The sequence below is a fragment of the Homo sapiens genome, chromosome 12 (assembly GCF_000001405.40).
Source record: "Homo sapiens chromosome 12, GRCh38.p14 Primary Assembly".
NCBI classification, from domain to species: Eukaryota; Metazoa; Chordata; class Mammalia; order Primates; family Hominidae; genus Homo; species Homo sapiens.
The window spans coordinates 28306171-28325668 of NC_000012.12; the positions used below are offsets into that span (position 1 = coordinate 28306171).

Below are 19498 nucleotides of genomic sequence, written 5' to 3' on the forward strand. Positions count from 1 at the left end.
AACTATTTCAATTTTAGAGTAAAAACCAAAAATATAGCAGTTATAAGGTTTATTCATTCAAATATTTTTTAAAGCAAGAATTTATGCTAGCTGCTGAAGGTAGTCCCAATTTCTAAAGTGCTGTACACAATTTTGAGTCACCTGTTAATTTTGCGAGACAGTGGTGATCAATAGAGGTCATTGATAAATTTCAGAGTTTGATTTACAGTTTAAAATATAAACAAATTCTAGGTCTGTGTGTAAATTTAAGAACTGTTAACAACCAGATATGTCTATCCTTATTCATACATTTTCAAGCACAGGAAAAAGTTAAGTCTTTTAGTGCATTGGTAGCAAAATAATGAATACTTTAGATTTCAAAATTAAGAGGAAATTTTGTTTCTTACAGCAAAGATCGGGTTGTTGTAAAAGTTTGAGGTCTTCTCTTGATTTACTTAAAGGGTGAAATAATTTCGGAACCTTTTCAACAACTTAATTTCCAAATGTGGTTTCTAGTGCCCTTTGGATGTTTTCATTATTGGTATAGTGTAAACTTTCCTCTCTTGTGTATTTTTTTTTTTATGTGGTTTAGATTCAGCAATCAACACACACTCATCTGGATATCTCACTTTTTCCATTGGGTTTAACTGATGAAAAAAGTAATGGAACAATTGCCCTTGTGGATGATTCTGAGGATCCTGGAGCCAATGTATCTAACATACAGCTTCAGCAAAAAATTTCAAGTCTGGAGATTAAACTCAAAGTATCTGAAGAAGAAAAACAGAGAATTAAACAGGTATATTTACATTTGCCTAAGAAATGTTTGAATTGCAAATATTAGAAATTTGATATAATCTCAAACTCTGATTAAAAACTCATCAGAGGAAGAAGATACTTTTCTCCCTTGGTTGTAGGTTTAAAGCAGTCATGAGCTTATCACTTAGAAAAGCCTTTGATAAGAAATATATTTTACATATGTACTTTTAAAGATATGAACATCGTTTACTAGGTTTTTTCTAACTATTGCTTTCTTTTTTGGTTTATTTTTATTTACTTTGAAAGCAGGTAGTATTGTGTTTCTTATGAGGAGGTGAAATTTTGCGACATCAACTTTTCCCTATGGGAAGTTAGGCATCACAGGATATTTGACAAGAGTACTTAGGTATACAGCCATTTTAGTAAATTCTTTACTTATGCTTTCTTCCCTGTGAATATATAGCAAATTTATAGAAAGTGTATGTAGAGGTAGATTATGTTGATGAAATTAGTTGAGATGCTCATATTCATTTGTTGGAATGAGTAAATGTTGTGTCCATGTTTGATATTGGCCTAGAAATTAGAGTGAAGCATATAATTTATAATATTGTTAGATTTTAAGCCGTACTTCCCATGGATTCTTTCTCTGACAAATGTTTTCTGACATGTTCATTGAAAAAACTAATTATATTTTATGCCATTAAATATTACAAAGCTTGTATTTGTATTTTTATTTTAGGATGTGGAATCATTGATGGAAAAGCATAATGTCTTAGAAAAAGGCTTTCTAAAAGAAAAAGAGCAAGAGGCCATTTCTTTTCAAGATAGATACAAAGAACTTCAGGTAAGGCGATTGAACTTAAGATTTAAAATGTAAGCCTTTTGATGAAGCATGTGCTATAATTTCAAAAAGTGCATAATGAATATCTTATGAATGAAGAATCAGATACTTGCTTAAATATATAAAACTGACCAACATGGGCTAAATTAATGGGAAGACACCCATTTTGAAAAATATGAGTCTGTGAGCAGCCCTGAGGATTAGTAGTTTGAGGCCCAAACAATTTGGTAAGAAATATTCTGTTTCTGATGGATACATTTTGGGAACTGTTTATTCTAATTTTTGTTATAATAATTACATTTGAATTACATTTAGAATCCTGTAATCCAGAACTGAGACACTTAACTTTTTTAAATAAATTGTCTCCTTTTCTCCTTCCTAAATTTTCTTATTTATTTCTTCTACAGTCTAACCTAACACAGTAAATGGCAACTCCATCTTTCTAATTGCTAAGACTAAAACTAACTCATTCCTTTTTGTACTTACTCAATGTCTGTTTCTTTAGCAGGATTTGTTGGCTGTACCTTCAGAATATCCAGGTTTCAACCATTTATCATCATGGTCAGCGCTATTAACATATTGTATATTATCATTATTTCTCCCTTGGATTACTAAAGTATATTCTAACTAGTCTTTTGTTTTTGTCACTGCCCACGTGCAGACCATTCCCCCCATTGCAGCCACTGTGATCTGATTGAAACTTAAAGCTAGTCATGTCATTATTCTGTTCTAAAACCTTCGTGGGCTTCTTATCTTTCCCACACTAAAAGCCAGGTCCTTAAACTGGTTTTCAAGGCTCTGTGTTCCCTTATGTCCCTTCTTCCTCTCTTTTCCTTGCCTCTTTTTCCTCAGTCATTTTTCTTTTTCCTAATGTCCAGAGTGCTCAGATTCCCTCAGATACCTGCATGGTTTTCTTCATAGCCTTCAAGTCTCTGTTCAAGTATTACCTTATCAGATAAGCCTTTCCAGACAATGCTGACATCCTCTCCATCCACCTTATCATAGTCTGCTTTATTTTTATTCCTAGCACCTTTTACATTTGACAAATTATATATTTACTTGTTTATTTGCCTGGATCACTGTAATAGTCTCCTAAGTGGTCTTCTGGCTTCCATCCTTGTTCTTTTCCTTCATGAGTTTTTAATTCAGCAGGTAAGAGTAGTGTTTTAAAAATGTAAATCAAATCAGATCCCAGACTCAATTCCTATTTTCATTCCAATATACATTTTCAAGCTTCTCCAGTTTACCCTCAGGTATTTATTTACACCAAGCTTTATAATAAGGTATAGGTGAATGTGTGAGTATGCGTGGGGAAGGACATTCTTTGCCTGTTGGAGGGGTATGGTCCATGATTCACTCACATATCTCTGCCTGGAATGCTGTTCCTCCTGTAGATAAGTTTCTTAAAAATACAAAACTTGGAAATAAGAAAAACGCAGGCAGTGTGTCTTTTCAGTGCCTGTGATGACATTGTTTAATGTGCCCACCTCAGGAGTACTTAGGAGAAAGTACTTTATTTGACTCACTGTTTATTCTTGAATAAAAGTCTCAGATGTAGTGAAGTTACATGTTAATTTATAGATTTTTTCCCCTGAAGAGATGCGAATAATTCTGTCTGTTAGAAAAGATAACTTCTAAGAATATAATTAATTGCCCTGTAGGATATTAACAAGTTTTATCTCTAACCTAGTGCTTTTAGTCCAACACTCCATGTTGTTAAATTTCCTATCTAAATCCTGTTCTTCACATGCTGCTTAAACCAGTCTTAGCATCTTATTCATTCGGTCTTATAGGATATTAACCAGTTTCGTCTCTAACCTATTGCTCCTAGTTAACACTCCATTGTTAAATTTCCTATATAAATCCTGTTCTTCAAATGCTTCTTGAACCAGTCTTAATATTCATTCAGTCTTAAGATAAATGATTAATTCATTAGTAAATGAACAGAATAAATCTTTGGTATATCTTCAATTGGTATTTACATGAGTCAGATTAACTTTTTGAAAATTATACTTTTAACAGCTCTCGCTGAACTCTAGCTTCCTTCTGATATTTGCTCAAATGCTACTCTTGTGGAGGCTTTTCTTAATCGTGCTGTATAAAATAAGGCCCTTTGTACTTGCTCAGCATCCCCTAGCCCTTTTTATTTTTTTCTTTTCCATACCGCTTATTCCTACCTGTTATTTTATTTTGATTTGTTTATTTTCTGTCTTTTCTCCACTACAGTGTAAATTCCTTGAGATTAAGGAGTTTTCCTTCCCAGTAGTACTTGGCATATAGTGCATGTTCAATGAATACTGTTGGATGAATTGAATAGATGAACTAATATCATGCACCCTGCTCCCCAAGGACTAATTACATTGTGTATAGCCACACTTACTGACCTCATCCTTGGAACTATGGTGCTGATTAAAAGGCATAGTACTGAATAATGAGATAACTTTGTGTTTCTTTGTCTCCACTGAATGACTTATTCTGGACCCTTTAGTGAGACATACATCTTTGAGAGTTCAGTTTTTCCATCTATAAATGGGAACAGTAACATATCAGAGAGACTACGTGAGACTTAACGTATATCACTTTGGGTTGTTTTTACATTAATGACCAATATAAATGCTATCTGGCATTATCATTGTTGTCTCACTGCGTTTACTATTAATAGTGATAATCTAGGAGTGATGACTTGAGTCTTCAAAGCTAGTTCCTTTTGTAGGAATCAGTACTTTCAAAGAAAACTTTTTTCAGATGACTTCATTTTAGGACCTATAGGCTTCTCTCTCCTTTTTATAGCATGGGAATAAAAGAGTAACTTACGGAGTGTTAAACACCTTGGCTAAATAAATTATAGAAAAATGTACCAGGAGGTCTCATAGCCAAATCGAAGTTAAAGTAGGCATACTGTTCAGTTTGTATGTCACCATACCATCTCTGAGGAAAGCATTTCTATCCTCAGTCCCTTCCATTCATTTGATGTGCCAATTCTTTGTTTTTTATTTGGTTATTGTATATTTCAGTTCTAAAATTTCCATTTGGTTCTCCTTCATATCTTCCATTCTGTGCTTAAACTTTCTATTCTGTTTGTTTCAAGCATGTTTCATAATTCCCTGCCGAAGCATTTTTATTATGGTTGCTTTAAAATCCTTGTTAGAAAAATGTCATCTCAGTGTTACTATTGATAGTATTTTCTTACCCAAGTTGAGATTTTTCTGATTCTTAGTATGATGAGTGCATTTTAATTTTATCCTGCATATTTTGGGTATTTTGTATGATACCTTGGATCTTATTTAAATCTTGTATTTTAGCAGGCCTCATCTGATACTGTATAGTTTGGGAAAAGATTAACCATTTTGTTAATGTCAGGTGCAAGTAAAATGACAAGTTTTCCACTCAGCCCCCTTTGACACCCTGGGTAGGAGGGATACTGCCTTACTCCTGAGATAAGGTGGGATTTCAGGGCTCCCACAGGCCTTAGCAGATACATCCCTGGCTGGGAGCAGGAGAGGCACCTTATTACTGTTCCACGGGTGCCTTACTGTGAGATTAGGTGAGATCTTCTTACCTCTGGATAGTTATAAAAGTTCTGGCTTCCCACTCAGCTTCCTCTGACACAGGAAAGGAGGGAGAGAGAGTCTTTTTCCTTTTGGATGGGGATAGAAGTCCTAAAACTGTCTTCACAACCACTTGGTTTTCTCTGATACCACATCGAGGTCATCTATGGGCACTGCATTGTTGCTGGGGCGAGAGTGGAAATCTAGGCTCAGTACTCGGCCTTTTGTGACAGAGGTGGTTTAAAAATAAAGGCGAAACTTGGAAATAAGGAAAAAGGTGAGCAGTGTGTCTTTTCAGTGTCCTATAGGGACATTGTTCAATAGGCCTACACTATGACTATTTAGAAGAAAGTATTTTGTTTGAGTCATTGTTTACTGTTGATTAAAAGTTTCAAAGTTAGGGCCATGCGTGTTTTTTTTTAAATTTTTTTTCCATGGTATTTGGTTGGTGTAGGATGTTTATTGTCTAAAAGTTTTCTGTCTTGCTAGATTGTGCCTTTCATGGATGGCCCTTTTGTTACAGAGGATTGACTTTTATTGGGGCTTTTGTGCCTGTTGGTGTTTCCTGGTTGCTGGCTATTCCACTCCCCAGTTTGGGATATATGAGGCTAAAAGAAAACTCACAGAACTCACTGCTTTGTCATTCCTTGGATTCCCAGGTCCCTAGTTAGTCTGCCTTCCCTCTGCATTCCAGAATCCTCTTAAATTTGTTTTAATAAAATGTCCAAACTTTTTAGCTCTATTTATTGATAGAAATAGGGAGAAGTGTGTCTTTTTAATTTTAATCTGGAAGTGGGATAGAAAGCAACCTTTTAAATTTTAGTTATTCTTTGTTGTAGCTACATCAGGAAATTGATATCAAAGTTAAAATACATTAATTTGAAACAGGTAACTTTGAGTCGGTTTTTTTTGGAGGTGGGGAAACAGGTTAATGAGCTCCCATGGAGTCATTCTAGATAGAGGAAGGATGCATAAAAATATATGGATAATTCGAAATGGGAGATAATACATAAATCTCTATATCTGCTTTATATTTACTAAGTTTGTGCATATTTATGTGTATGTGTTAGATATTCTGAAAGTGTATTTTCAACAAAAATATTTACATTGTACTGTAAATACCTGATTCAGGAAGAATTTAGAAATCTTAGGCTTCCGTATTTGACCTTTCTGCAATCCAGTTCTTTCTGAGGGTTATGGACTTCTTTCAAACTAACACAAAGTCGTTTCTACCTAATAATTTCTTAGGAATAAGAGATGTGATTAAATTTGTGAGTGTCAAAGGAGGCTACTGTATGTTAAATATGTATAGGATGAAATATTAGCAAAGTAAGTTTTTAAATAGTGATATGGTTTGGCTGTGTCCCCACTCAAATCTTATCTTGAATTGTAGTTTTCATAATTCCCACATGTTGTGGGAGGGACCTGGTGGCAGATAATTGAATCATGGGGATGTGTCTTTCTTGTGCTATTCTTGTGATAGTAAATGTCTCACGAGATCTGATGGTTTTATAAAGGGAAGTTTCCCTGTGCAAGTTCTCTTCTCTTGTCTGCTGCCATGTGAGACGTGCCTTTCACTTTCCGTCATGATTGTCAGGCCTCCTCAGCCAAGTGGAACTGTGAATCCATTAAACCTCTTTCTTTTATAAGTTGCCTAGTCTCGGGTATGTCTTTATCAGCAGTGTGAAAACGGACTAATACAAACAGTGAATATATATTAAATTTCTTGTTTGGATTTATGGTCTGCCAGTCATCCTTTAGATAATTGAATCTTATTTATGACATATTTTCTGTAGAATATGGCAATTTTTTAATATCAAGGTATCTAACATACAGGTCTTTTAAATGTCTGTGAAGCTTAATGAAATGAAAAGAGTTATTTATGATGACAGGAACAATATACTGGTGCCTGCATCTCTGTGGTATCCTAAATAAAGCAAAACATTTAGGAGTCCAGTAAGATATTGCTAGATTAAATTAGCTGAGAAGTTCTTTCTCCTTAAGAAATGTTAGTATGTGTATGTATTTATAAAAATAGTATGTGTAGTCTGGAAAATGTGGACAATATAGAAAAAGGAAAACAAAATTTATAGCTATTTCTCACCATGAAAATTCTAAATATTTTCACCTGATTTCAGAATACTGGGCTCTGAGTTTTCAGTTTTGGAAAATCTACTCCTCTACTTAGGCCAGGTTTTGGATGTATCTGTCAGAATTTTTGTCTGACAAGAGAAAGAGTAATTAATAAATGGAATGTTTGTAAAACCTTTAAACAAACTTTTAAAAAACAACATTAATGATTACAGATAATTCTAACAGTGTTATTTTATGTGATATGGTCTAATTACCAGGATAGGTGGAGAGGCGTGAATGTGCCATAACAAAAGGAAATAAATACTGTGAACTCTATAGTACAATGGGGGTGTGTGCTATGTCCCCTTTTCCTGTTCTGTCCAGGGTGTGTAGCCTAACCAGAGGAAGAAAAGTGAGTCATGCTGCATTTATCAGAAATAGCTATTTAAAGGACTTTCACAAAACTTGAATAGAGAACTCCTCATTTTAGTACAACTTGGATTCCAGTCCCTTTTGTCTCCTTTCTTTGACTCCTGTAACAAGTGGGTCAACACCTGTGACAAGCACTCAGGAAACTTGGCAGCTCATCAGATAGCACATGTCCTCATGCTGCCACATTTCTAAAAATTCAGTTACCAGACACAGCTGGTTATAAAATTATTATCTTTGATAGTCGTCAGTATTGGTATCTATGGCTAACTTTGGGAATTTTTTGTGTAAACTTTTTAAAGACTGGACTTAATTCTTTCACATTCCATTTTCTATTGCAGTGCCTCGTGGCTACAGCAGCTTGATTATTTGGCTTGAAAATTTAATTAAAAAAAAAACAACTAGTACTGTTTTATGAAAATAAAGTGTTTCAGAGGACCTTAAATTTACCTATAAATGGATTTATACAGCCCCAGACTACTACTTACATTCTGTTGCTGATTTCACAGATTGTATTATTTAAGTACCAGTAGATATTAATCTAAATTTTTTCATGTACTCTTTAAAAATAAGTACTAATCAGGTGTTGGACATTGGGCGCTTGGCAAGAGGCTACTATAATAATTGTGCTTTATAAAGTTGGTTAAGGGGTAGATTAGATCAGTTGCTTGACTACCCAGAATAGTTAACTTGATAATCTGGTATGTAGAGAATTTAGCAGTTATGTGTAGGTAACCCAAAATATAGTTTGCGGTCTTATGTAGGATTGGAAAATGCTGAAGGAAATATTAGTACACATTAAGCATCACTTGAAGACATTCTGTTCATTTACATATTTTTTGGCATGACTAAACACTCTGAAGATGTATCTTTGTCAGAATTGTAGTCTGACAAGAGAAAGAGTAATTAATAAATGGAATGTGTGTAAAAAATGAAACAATAAGGATTTTATATTTTAGTTGGTCTTACATGCATTTCTTTTAGTAGTATATTTTAGATTAGATTTGATGTTGGGAAATGTATGTATTTCTGTTGTTAGGAATCCCATCCTCTTCATAGGCCTTATAAAATGAGAGTCACTGTGAGAGATCAATCATTGTGAGATATGGTCAAGTATTTTCTTTCTTATTTCAAAGCTAATTGAATGATTGAATTATTCAATCCATAGGTTAAATACTAAAATTTGGAAGACCTCTTTGTCAAACTGTATTAGAATAATAAACATTGCCATAATAAGCATTTACATTCATTAAAACATGTCTATATAGTGTAGAAAAGTTTATTCAAACCAAACAGGTAGAATTATTTATATAGAAAGAACAACATGTTAAGGGTATTTTACTTAATGTGTCAGTTGTATATATATATATATATATTTTTGTTTTTGAGAAGGAGTTTCGCTCTTGTTGCCTAGGCTGGAATCAGTGGCATGATCTTGGCTCACTGCAACTTCCACCTCCCTGGGTTCAAGCGATTCTTGTGCCTCAGCCTCTGAAGCAGCTGGAATTACAGGCATGTACCACCACACCCGGCTAATTTTTGTATTTTTAGTAGAGATGCGGTCTCACCATGTTCACCAGGCTGGCTTTGAACTCCTGACCTCAGGTGATCTGCCCACCTTGGCCTTCTAAAATGCTGGGATTACAGGCATGAGCACCATACCTGACCTTGTATATTCTTAAAAATAAGACTTTCAGGTCCAAGCAATGAACTTGAAAATTTTGCTTTATACAGTAGTTTTCATGAATTTCTGCATTTCATCTGTTTTGCTTCACTTATTTGACTTCCTTAAATTTTAGAACAATAATCTTCAATCCAGGATCACATTATACTTTCCAGGAAAGTTTCAAAAAATGCTAAATTAGTGGCTGACACCAGTTAATTAATGTGTTCAAGTGATTCAAACATCAAAAACTGCATATAGTAAATAAAGATATATAGTGAAAAGTCTACACCTCATCCTCTGCTACATCCACCTAGTTCTTTTGTGCCCTCAACAGGTAATTCCTGTTTTTTTTTTTTAATCCTTGTAGAATATTTTATAATGCAAACCAAGGCCAATGATAAATATACATATATCTCCTTCCTTCTGTCTCATTTAGATAATAGTGTACTAAATATTTATTTAGTTAAGATTATTTCTTGGAGGCCTTTTCATAGTGACTCATATAGAAATTCCTATTCTTTCTATGAACATCTGAAATACATTATTTTCTTCTATCATAAAACATTGCTGTCAAAGTCTAATAGCAATCTAATTCTTTTTCCAGTTTCTTGTTATATCCTGCTTTTGGTGATTTTTGGTTGATTCCTCTAGGTTTACAATATGTCTTTCTAATATATGTAGTTTCAATTTCTTACTTTACAGTTTTAAGAAGTTATTACATTATAAATTTAATGTTTGTTTTATTCTCTGACTGTGTCTTCCTTATGGTGACTCCTGTTATTTGTATGTTGGATAGTCTTTGCCTTCTACATTTGTCTTTACTTGACTCCTTTTTATTGCTTCATTTCTTTTTGATCTAAAATTTGCTCCCCCTTTTATTCTTTAGTTTAAATAATCATTTCTGAAATGATTTATTCTGTCATAATTCTTTTCTAAAATCTCTCATCATTTCTGAGTTGTTCTAACTTTGGTTTATGTTGTTCTTTAATCTACTTTATCATTTTCCAAGTATCTTTTAGCTTACTGTGTTGAGTTTTTAATCTTTCTTTTTATTTTATTTATTTATTTATTTTTACTTTCAGCCAACTCACACCTTTTTTTTTTTTTTTTTTTTTTTTTTGCTATTCTTTTATTTTCTATAGGGCTGTCATTCTGGTCCTTCTTTTTTTCATATAATAGCATTGTATGGGATTCAACTAATGTGCTTCTGTTGTTTTTACATGAAATTGGTTCTCTTAAACTTTTTAAATGAGTCATTTAAGATAGTTTTTTTCTCTCATTTTAAAATTCTGTGTTTTTGTCTGATAAAAAAAATATAGTGGCAACATTTTATAATTTTCTGACTTCATTTACTTCTTCCACTTTTATCTTGACCCTCTCTTTCTTCTCTCTCTATTGTCTCTGGTTTGGTCAATTTGGATTTTCCCAGCAATTTGTCCTCAGTGTCGGGCTTTATCTGGAAAGTATTTAGAGTTTTTTGGGCCCACTGACTCCTTATTGAAGACTGCTTGTACTTACCTGAAATTGTGTAGACCTCTCTCAGTTTCAGCTACTGTTCTTATCTTGGCATGCTGACCTCTCCAGTGAGTTTCTGTTAGCCATTTCAGAGTTGCCATGTCTGTCTGATGTCCTGTTACTTTTACCTTTTTTCCTGCACAGATTCGGATGCCATACACGTTTTGGGACTATTGATGGTTTGTCTTCACCTGTTCATATTTTGGCATTCACAAGGGATATAGATTTGTGATAGGAATATCCCAGTTTGTGCTTCTATTTTTTAAAAAATTTGTTCTGTAAGGGATTTTTGAGACATCTAAAAGCTATACTATTGTTAATACCATATTCTTAGATTCTTTTCCCTGCTGATTGCTGTTAAAGGGAATTATGTGTGGTAAGAAGGGTTAAACACATGCTTTCCATGAGGATACTTATTTTTTATGGAATTAGTTAGTAGATTGCTGGGACCTGGAGTTCTCAATCTCATAGCAATAAAACTTGAAGGAAAAGACCATGTTTTCTTTATTTTTGTATACTGTTATTAAGCACTTACGGGTGTCTGTGTCTCTAAGAATTGTTGAAATGAAAAAAATGTTTGGAGAAAAATGATTTTTTCAAGTAGTTTTTTTATTGTTTATTTTCACCTTGAGTTTTATAGAAAATTGATCATACATTTGCCTAAGAGCCACTAAAGTTGACAAGCTTCATTTTTTATTTTTTAATTTTTTTAGAGAAGATGATGAACTAGTTTTATGTCCATGTGTAGGGGTGAGTGCAGTGATCACAAGCATATCTGTAGGGTTACCACTTATTTGATTCTGTGCACTGAAACATATAACTTGTATTTGTACCTTTTTTTAATCAGTATTTGCACCTTTTTATCAGTATTTGCAGATACTGATTACCAACACCATGATTGATGTTCCTAATAAGCACCTTAAGTCATTTTTCTTTCTTCACTAAAGTATTGATTTATAGAATAAACATTTCACTTTTATACTGTTTCTCCTCATTCACTATCTTTATTCTCTGATTAGTAGTCAGCAACTTAAGTAAAATAAGGGCCATTTCACAAAAATAAAAATTTATTTTTAAAAATGAAAATAGCTTTAACTCTTTTTTTATTAGAAAAAACTAGCTTATTTGATACCATTTAAACAATGAGAAGAGTATACAAATTTTATTAATTTTATCACCTAAATATTCAGTTTTTAATAGAAACAAAAACAATTTATTACTTTTCTAACCATGAGGGGAAAATGTACAACTTAATAATTTGATTATTAGTACGGTGGTTCATATCTGTAATCCCAACACTTTGGGAGGCTGTGGCAGGAGGATTGCTTGAGCCCAGGTAAATCGAGACCAGCTTGGGCAACTTAGTGAGACCCCATTTCTCAAGAAAAAAAAAAAGAAACCAAAAAACGAAATTAGCTGCTGGGCATGGTGTGTGCACCTGTTGTCCTAGCTACTTGGTAGGCTGAGACTAAAGGATTGCTTAAGCCCAGGAGTTTGAGGTTGCAATGAGCTATGATTGCACCACTGTACTCTAACCTCAGTGACAGAGCCAGACCCTGTCTCCAAAAAAATTTCTTTTTCAATTATTTGTTACGGAATAACAATAGCAATGAGAAAATTAACTGACATTTTAGTCTCAAAAAATGCCAAGAATTGGAGGCAGTTATGAGAATTAACAATATAGGTACAGGTTTTTGAAATTTTGTGCTGGCTTTTATTTTAAAGGGCTTATGTCATTTTCTTATCCCTGTTCTAATAATTGAGAAAATCAAATTGTCATTTTATTTATTGGAACTAAATGGAACAGTTTTGAAGTCATTGGGAGAATATCATTTTCAAAATCTACAAACTAATTGATGCCAGTGAGAATGTTTTTCTTCCGCCTTGCTACCTTAGTCATCATCCACAGTAGTAGACATTTAAAGTAGTTGCTAGTACTTCCTCAAGTCCAAGATGACATAGATGTTTAAGGAATGCCATCAATTTACTGATAGGTTTTGAGGGGACAGAAAAGACTAAATTATATTTTAATACCACCTAATTCAGAAATCTTAAGGTGTGATGAAATATGCATCTTAGACTTGACTCAGTAAGTAAAATGAGTTTTTCTGTTCCAAATGTTTTTTAAGGTATTTAGAATTTGTAAACAGTTAGTTTGGAAATTTAAAATGTTTTTAAAAGAAAAATCAAGTAAACTGTTTCGGTGAATTTAAGCAAATAAACTTCATGTATTTTAGCACATAGAAAATAAATATGCTTATAAATGTAAAAATAATTCCATGATTTAAGCAAATTAGCATCATTAAACAGATTTGCAGCAGAAAAAAGTATTAATGCCAAAAAATGGATTAAAAGTCCACCTTAAGTTTAGGTGCTTAGATTCTCATGATTCTGCATAAAGTCTTTTAAGCAAACATCTATTCTGTCAGCAGTAATTCCGCCTTGGATAAACCTCATTGGCTACGATACTGCCATTGTGCAAAGTTAAACATTTATTCTAAATACAGTTGTCCCTCAGTATCTGTGAGGGCTTGGCTCCAGGACCTCTCTTAGATACCAAAATCCATAAATGCTCAAGTCCCTGATATAAAATGGCATAGTATTTGCATATAACCTGTGCACATCCTCCTGTACACTTTAAATAATCTCTAGATTAGTTATAATACCTAATACAATGTGAATGCTATGTAAATTGTTGTTATATTATATCATAATAATACAATATAATAATAAGAGAAAAAGTCTATATATGTTCAAGGTTAGTTATAATACCTAATACAATGTGAATGCTATGTAAATTATTGTTATATTGTATCATAATAATACAATATAATAATAAGAAGAGAAAAAGTCTATATATGTTCAGTGCAGTTGCATTTTATTTCTTCCTAATACTTTTTTACCCCCAGCTGGTTAAATCCCTGGATGCAGTACCTACAGATGCAGAGGGCTGACTATATTCACTTGGCCATACAATTTTTACTCATTTATTATTGTGAGAGATTCCAGGCTGTATGCTAAATCTTCATACTTTCTTGCAAAGTTAGACAGTACATGACCTCTTTTGATCTACGCTAATACCAAGGTTTATGTGAATACATTTCAGAAATGCTATGCTATTATAATTATGATACTTTTTCTATGACATTATTTCATCTCTTATAAATTTAAGAACCCTTTAACATGGTCTTTTTAGGAACATATAATTTGGTAGAATATGGTTTTGATGTTTATTTACGGTTACTCCATATGCTATTAGGTTGTTTATAAGTACATTTATCACTTTAGAGGGCTATGTTTTATCTTCTTTGCTAGATAGTAAATTACCCAAGGAACATTCCCAGAGTGCACACAGACTTTTTTTTGTAGTCAATACATGTTTTCGACAAGTGCTTAGTGAGTTTTTTCTTTTTTTTTATGTGCTTAATGGCAATGCCACAAAATAGGAAAACATGGACTTACAATGTGGCTAAGCCTCATCCTCATGCAGTGGTGAAGCAAACCTGTTATTTTTGAATATTCTAGTTTACAATCTCTAAGGATGTATTTACTGTATTTCCCACTTATCTGAGGTCAGACTTTGACCTCAGCCATTCTAGAACAAAGCCACAGACCTCAGCAGTAAGTGAAGACTAGTTTGAAGCAAATGCTTATAAAATCAGTACACTTTATTTTGCAGGTAAGTAAGTCATAGAGTGTCTCAACCAGACAGTTAACATATAAAATAAAAGAGAAAAGATACATTTGATCACAGTGGCCAGAAAAGCATGTTGAAGGAGAAGACATATTCAGAGTTTGGAAATTTGAGAAAATTTTGGTAAGGGTTTAGGTGGCTCCCAGTGTCTTTGTTGTCTTTATATTCATTTGCTGAATTTTGAACTTTGGACTTTTCTCAGGTATAAGTGATTTAAGCGATATTGCTATATATTGGTAAGAGTTGAAGAGCTGTACTCTCCTTTTCTCATTGAATGTTTACTTGTTGAGAAGGCTGTGTGTGTTTACATATTCTGTTTGAGGGAAGAAGGACATTGTGGTTTTGAAAGGAATAGGTAAGAAATCTACTATGTAAAACTGTTTAACAATGCAGAGAATGGTGTCTTGAATGGAAGAATGCTTATGTATAGTAAATGCTATTTGAGCATTTTTTTTGCTTGGTTTAGTTTGTTCATTGCTACTTCATCTTTATTATTTAGCTCTCTATTTGAAAGCCACTTGCTGAGACAGCCTTTTTCTGACCCTTCTGGTTAAAGTAGTTCTTCCCCATATCCCATTCCTCTTTTATTTTCCTCAAAACTTAGCTGAATCATACTTGTTTATATAGTTATTGTTTGGCTGTTTCCCTTTCCTCCCAGAATGTAAGTTCCTAGTGGGATAAATTTTCTTACTTAACTATGATATTATCAACTCCTAGAATAGTGCCTTGCACATAAAAAAAATGTTGATTGGTTGACTGAAATGTGTGGTTTGTAGACTGCTATGGATTGAATGGTTTCCCCCTAAAATTCGTACATTGATGCTCTCATCCCCATTTTGATGGTATCTGGAGATGAGGCCTTTGGGAGTAAATTAGGTTTAGATGAAGTCATTAGGATGGGGTCCTCATAATGGAATTAGTACACTTATAATAATAATAGACATCAGAGAACTTGTTGTCTATGTCTCTGCCATGTGGGGATACAGTGAGAAAGTAGCTGTTTTACAAGCCAGGAAGAAAGCCCTCACCGGAAAATGATCATGCTGGCACCTTGATCTTGGGCTTCTAGCCTCCAGAATTGTGCAAAATAAATTTTTGTCATTTAAGCTACCTAGTCTATGTTATTTTGTTATATTAGCCGAACAGTCTAACACATGGAGTATAGCTGTTTTATATTTAAAGCTATAGTGTATTGTATCATTATATATGTCATATATTACATCACTATACGTATATCATTATACGTATAGTATATATATGTGTAGTGTATAGTGATACATATATCACTATAGTGATATACATGTAGTGATGTAATACACTATAGCTTTAATTTATAAATATATGGAGGAAGTTTTTGGGATACAAGCATTAGAAATGTTTATTTTCTTTAAAGCTAAGAAATGACTTCTACCCTATTAAATAAAAATTTCTAGGAAAATAATGAATTTACTTTTAGCTATAGATACAGTGTAGAAAGCATTATAATTATGCAAGATAGATGTAATTATGTTACCTACTCCATCTGCATCTAAAATTACAGGATAGTTGCTAGGGAGCCTCTCAAGTTAAAGCAGCATGTGAAATCACAGAGCAGCATGAAATCTGCAGAATCTGAAGAAAAGCACCCTTCATGGCAAACATTAACCTGCTCTTTACTGCATAGGAATTTGTGGATATGGCAACAGCTCCAGTCCTTCTTCTGCTTTGAGACATTACCAATGACCTCACACATTTAAAAAATCCTTGGCCTCTTCTTTTGCTTTTAATTTCTTGAAACCTTTCTTCCCTATCATTTTGGACTTTTTCCTCACTTGGTTTTTGAAGTTTCTCCCATTTTTTTGTAGTTTCTTACTCTCAAGTCATAAGTTTCCATTTCTTTTTAGTATGCGTATATTTTCTATGTGTCTCAATATACCTTCTCTGCTTCCTTATTTTTTTCTCTGTCATACAAATTTTTTGAGGTTTTTCTTAAAACACATAATTTTTCTAGTAACATAGTCTAGTAAAAATTTCAAATATAGAAATCCATAACTTAGAAAGTAAAAGATGCCTATAATTTTATACTTTATGGATAACTTCTAGACAGATAGTATTAACTTGTCTTCCAGAATATTATACATATTTATACTTTCACCAAGAAATACATGAGAATGCCTGTTTTACCATATCCTTGCCTACTGGGTATTGCCAGACTTTTAATATGCCAGTTAGAGAAGTAAAATATAACTTTTGATATTTTAATTTTTATTTCCTTATTAGTATGTTAGATTTTTTTCATATGGCTGTTGATCATTTTTCCCCTACATTTCCTGTATCTTTTTATTTTTAATTTAAAAAATTCTATTTATCTTAAGTGATTTATAAGAACCTTTATATATTAGGATTATTTACATTTTATCATATATTCTGGAATTTTTTTATGTTGATAGCTTTTTCTACAGTTGATTTAAAAAATTAACTCTAGTAAATTTTTTAGTAATGGTGTATACTGTTAATTATTATATATTTTAGTATATAATAGTATAAGGTTAGTCTCTTATATATGAGTTTTGGGTTAGAAAATATTTGTCTATGTTCAATTCCGGTCATTTTGTAGTTTCATTTTACATTTAACTTTTGATCTATCTGGACTTCGTATTGATAGAGTGAGATAGAGTCTAATTACTCCTTTTCCCACACAGTTAGCTTGTTACCATGACAATATTTGTAAAACAGTCCCTCTTGTCCCTTCTTATTTGGAATGCATCTTTGCCGTATATTAAATTTCCATATATACTTAGATATATTCTAGATTTGATTTCCATTTCTGTTGATATGTGTCTGTGTATTCCTGTGATAGTACCACCTACATTTCTGTTTTATTGCACATTTAGAGATTTGATAGGGCTATGCTTTCTTTTCTTAACTATTCTTGCCTGTTACTCTTAACAGTTGAATTTAATAATCATTTAATCAAGGTTTTAAACCCTGTTGCGATTTTGATAGAAATTTTGTTAAATTCTTAGATGTATAGATGCAAAATTGACATTATTCTCTATTTTTAGGGGGAAGTCATTAGAGTTTAGACTCAGAATATAAATAGGTCTTTGCCAAATAGTCAGGTGGGGAAGGTAGCTTCTTATAGACGGAGTGGCATATGCAAAGCCCTGCAGTTGTGAAATAACATGACCTGTGTGAAAAACTGCTAGTACTAGAGTTTCAGTAGTGAGGGATATTGGTATGTCAGCATAGGATGTGAGGGGAAGGCATTTTTGTAGCTGAATCTGAAAATTTTGTTAGAAACTGTCAAAATGTTTTTAGCAGTTGAGTAACACTAAACATACTTGCATTTTGGAAAGATATTTCTTGCAGTTGATATGGATGAGTTGGAGGGAGATGAGATGGAGTTAGAGAGACCTTTTTAGAGTCTGCTGCATTAGTCCAAGAGAAATACAGAGATCTTAATAAAGTAAAGAAATACAAATAAAGTTGGAGGAGAGGGAGAGATGTTTGAAGGATATTTAGAACATTTAGAAAATGTAACTTGGGGGTGAGAAAGAGGAAAGAATCTAGAATGGCTTGGCTTTGAGATTTGTGAAATTCTTCAGACCCTAATTTGTAAAATTTCCTTGTGAAACTTTAAAAAAAAGTATGGTTCACAAAAATAATGATTGTTTCTTTCACTCTATAGCAAATTAATAACAGCAAAGTGGGGAGGGGGACTGTCAAGAGGTGGGCAAATAACCTTTATGTGCATTAAATCTTCTCTTCCTCAGTCTCTCTCAAATCATTAACATTCTTTCCCTCAGCAATGCCATTGCCCTAGCCTAGGGAGCAATCACCTTTCACTCAGATTACTGTAATTTTACTTTTCTCGAATCCAATATTCATGCTGAAGCCAGAATAATTCTTCAAATCCGATCATTTTATTCTCTGGCTTAAAACTCTTCAGTGGTTTTTCTCTTTTCCTTAGGATTAACGTCAACCTTTGAAAATACCTTACAAGGTTTCATTTTCCTTACTTGTAAAATAATAATAATAATAATACTTCCTTTTTGAGTTATTGTGAAGATTAAGTTAGTTCATGTTCTGAAGTGTTTAAGAACAATGCCTGGCACACAACACTGTAATAAATGTTTGCTCATGTTATTTTTATTTTTTGTTTAGTATCTTACTTTCCATCCCATCTAGACCGTAAGAACCATACAATTTGAAATGATATTTTTCTTTTGATTGATATTCTCAGTATTTAGCACAGAATATATTAATATTAAATATTAAATGTATAACACATAATTTTATGAACGAATGTCACTTGGAAGCATAATAATGAAGCATTCAAAAGCTCTCAAGCAGAGGCAGAATGTGCTATTTGTCATAATGTAATAGGAGAATGAATTTTTATAGTATTCTGTGTTGCTAAGAAAAACAATTGCATCCAGTTGCTTTTGTTATAAGACAGCAGCTCTGAAATGTTTTTATTGTTTGAAGAAAGATATTAGATAAATTGGGAATCACATAAAAGTAATTGAATGTATACAAATAGAAAAGAAAAACAATGGCAATGTTTGGTTATTAACTAAAATTAATAGATACCGTAAGTGATTTCTTTATGTAAGAAAAAGTTGCTCTGTTAGGAGGTCTGAATGTACTTTTTCTCCTGAAATGGTTAAGAAACAGGTTTATTCATATATTTATTCATCTAACAAAAATTTTAAAAGATGCCTTCTATGTTCCAAGTTCTATTTTGGGTGATTGTGATACATTAGCGGAAAAACAACAAAAATCACTGCTTATGGAGTAACATGTTAGTGGATAAGAAAGACAGTGTTTAATAAACATAAAAATAAGTTAATTATAAAGTAGAAAGTGAATAAGTGATGAAAACTATAGCAAGGTAAAGGATACATTGTGAGTATTGGAGTAGAGGAGGGGTGGGTTATAATTTTTAGTGAAGTGATCAGGATTTCATTTAAAAGATGACTTTAAAGCCAAAAGTTGAAGATGGCAAGAAGAGG

The 19498-nt window shown here is 32.9% G+C and overlaps 1 protein-coding gene and 1 pseudogene across 37 annotated transcripts in view, besides 1 other annotated feature; one reads left to right on the forward strand and one right to left on the reverse strand.

Annotated features, from left to right (window-relative positions):
- Positions 1–19498, forward strand: part of CCDC91 (coiled-coil domain containing 91) — a 359711-nt gene that overhangs the window by 115715 nt on the left and 224498 nt on the right. For all 37 annotated transcript variants that reach the window (NM_001352086.2, NM_001352079.2, XM_047429083.1 and 34 more), the window contains 2 exons: positions 572–775; positions 1475–1579. In NM_001352086.2, the coding sequence (NP_001339015.1) occupies positions 572–775; positions 1475–1579 (309 nt within the window). The remainder of the gene's footprint in view (positions 1–571; positions 776–1474; positions 1580–19498) is intronic.
- Positions 6972–7141: an enhancer, noted in NCBI's record as "experimental_27419 CRE fragment used in MPRA reporter constructs". NCBI's record gives its function as "activates a minimal promoter by MPRAs in K562 erythroleukemia cells, with activity observed for the introgressed 12:28466160 variant allele {active_cell/tissue: K562}" and the evidence as "EXISTENCE:reporter gene assay evidence [ECO:0000049][PMID:34662402]".
- Positions 13165–13293, reverse strand: RNU4-54P (RNA, U4 small nuclear 54, pseudogene; annotated as a pseudogene).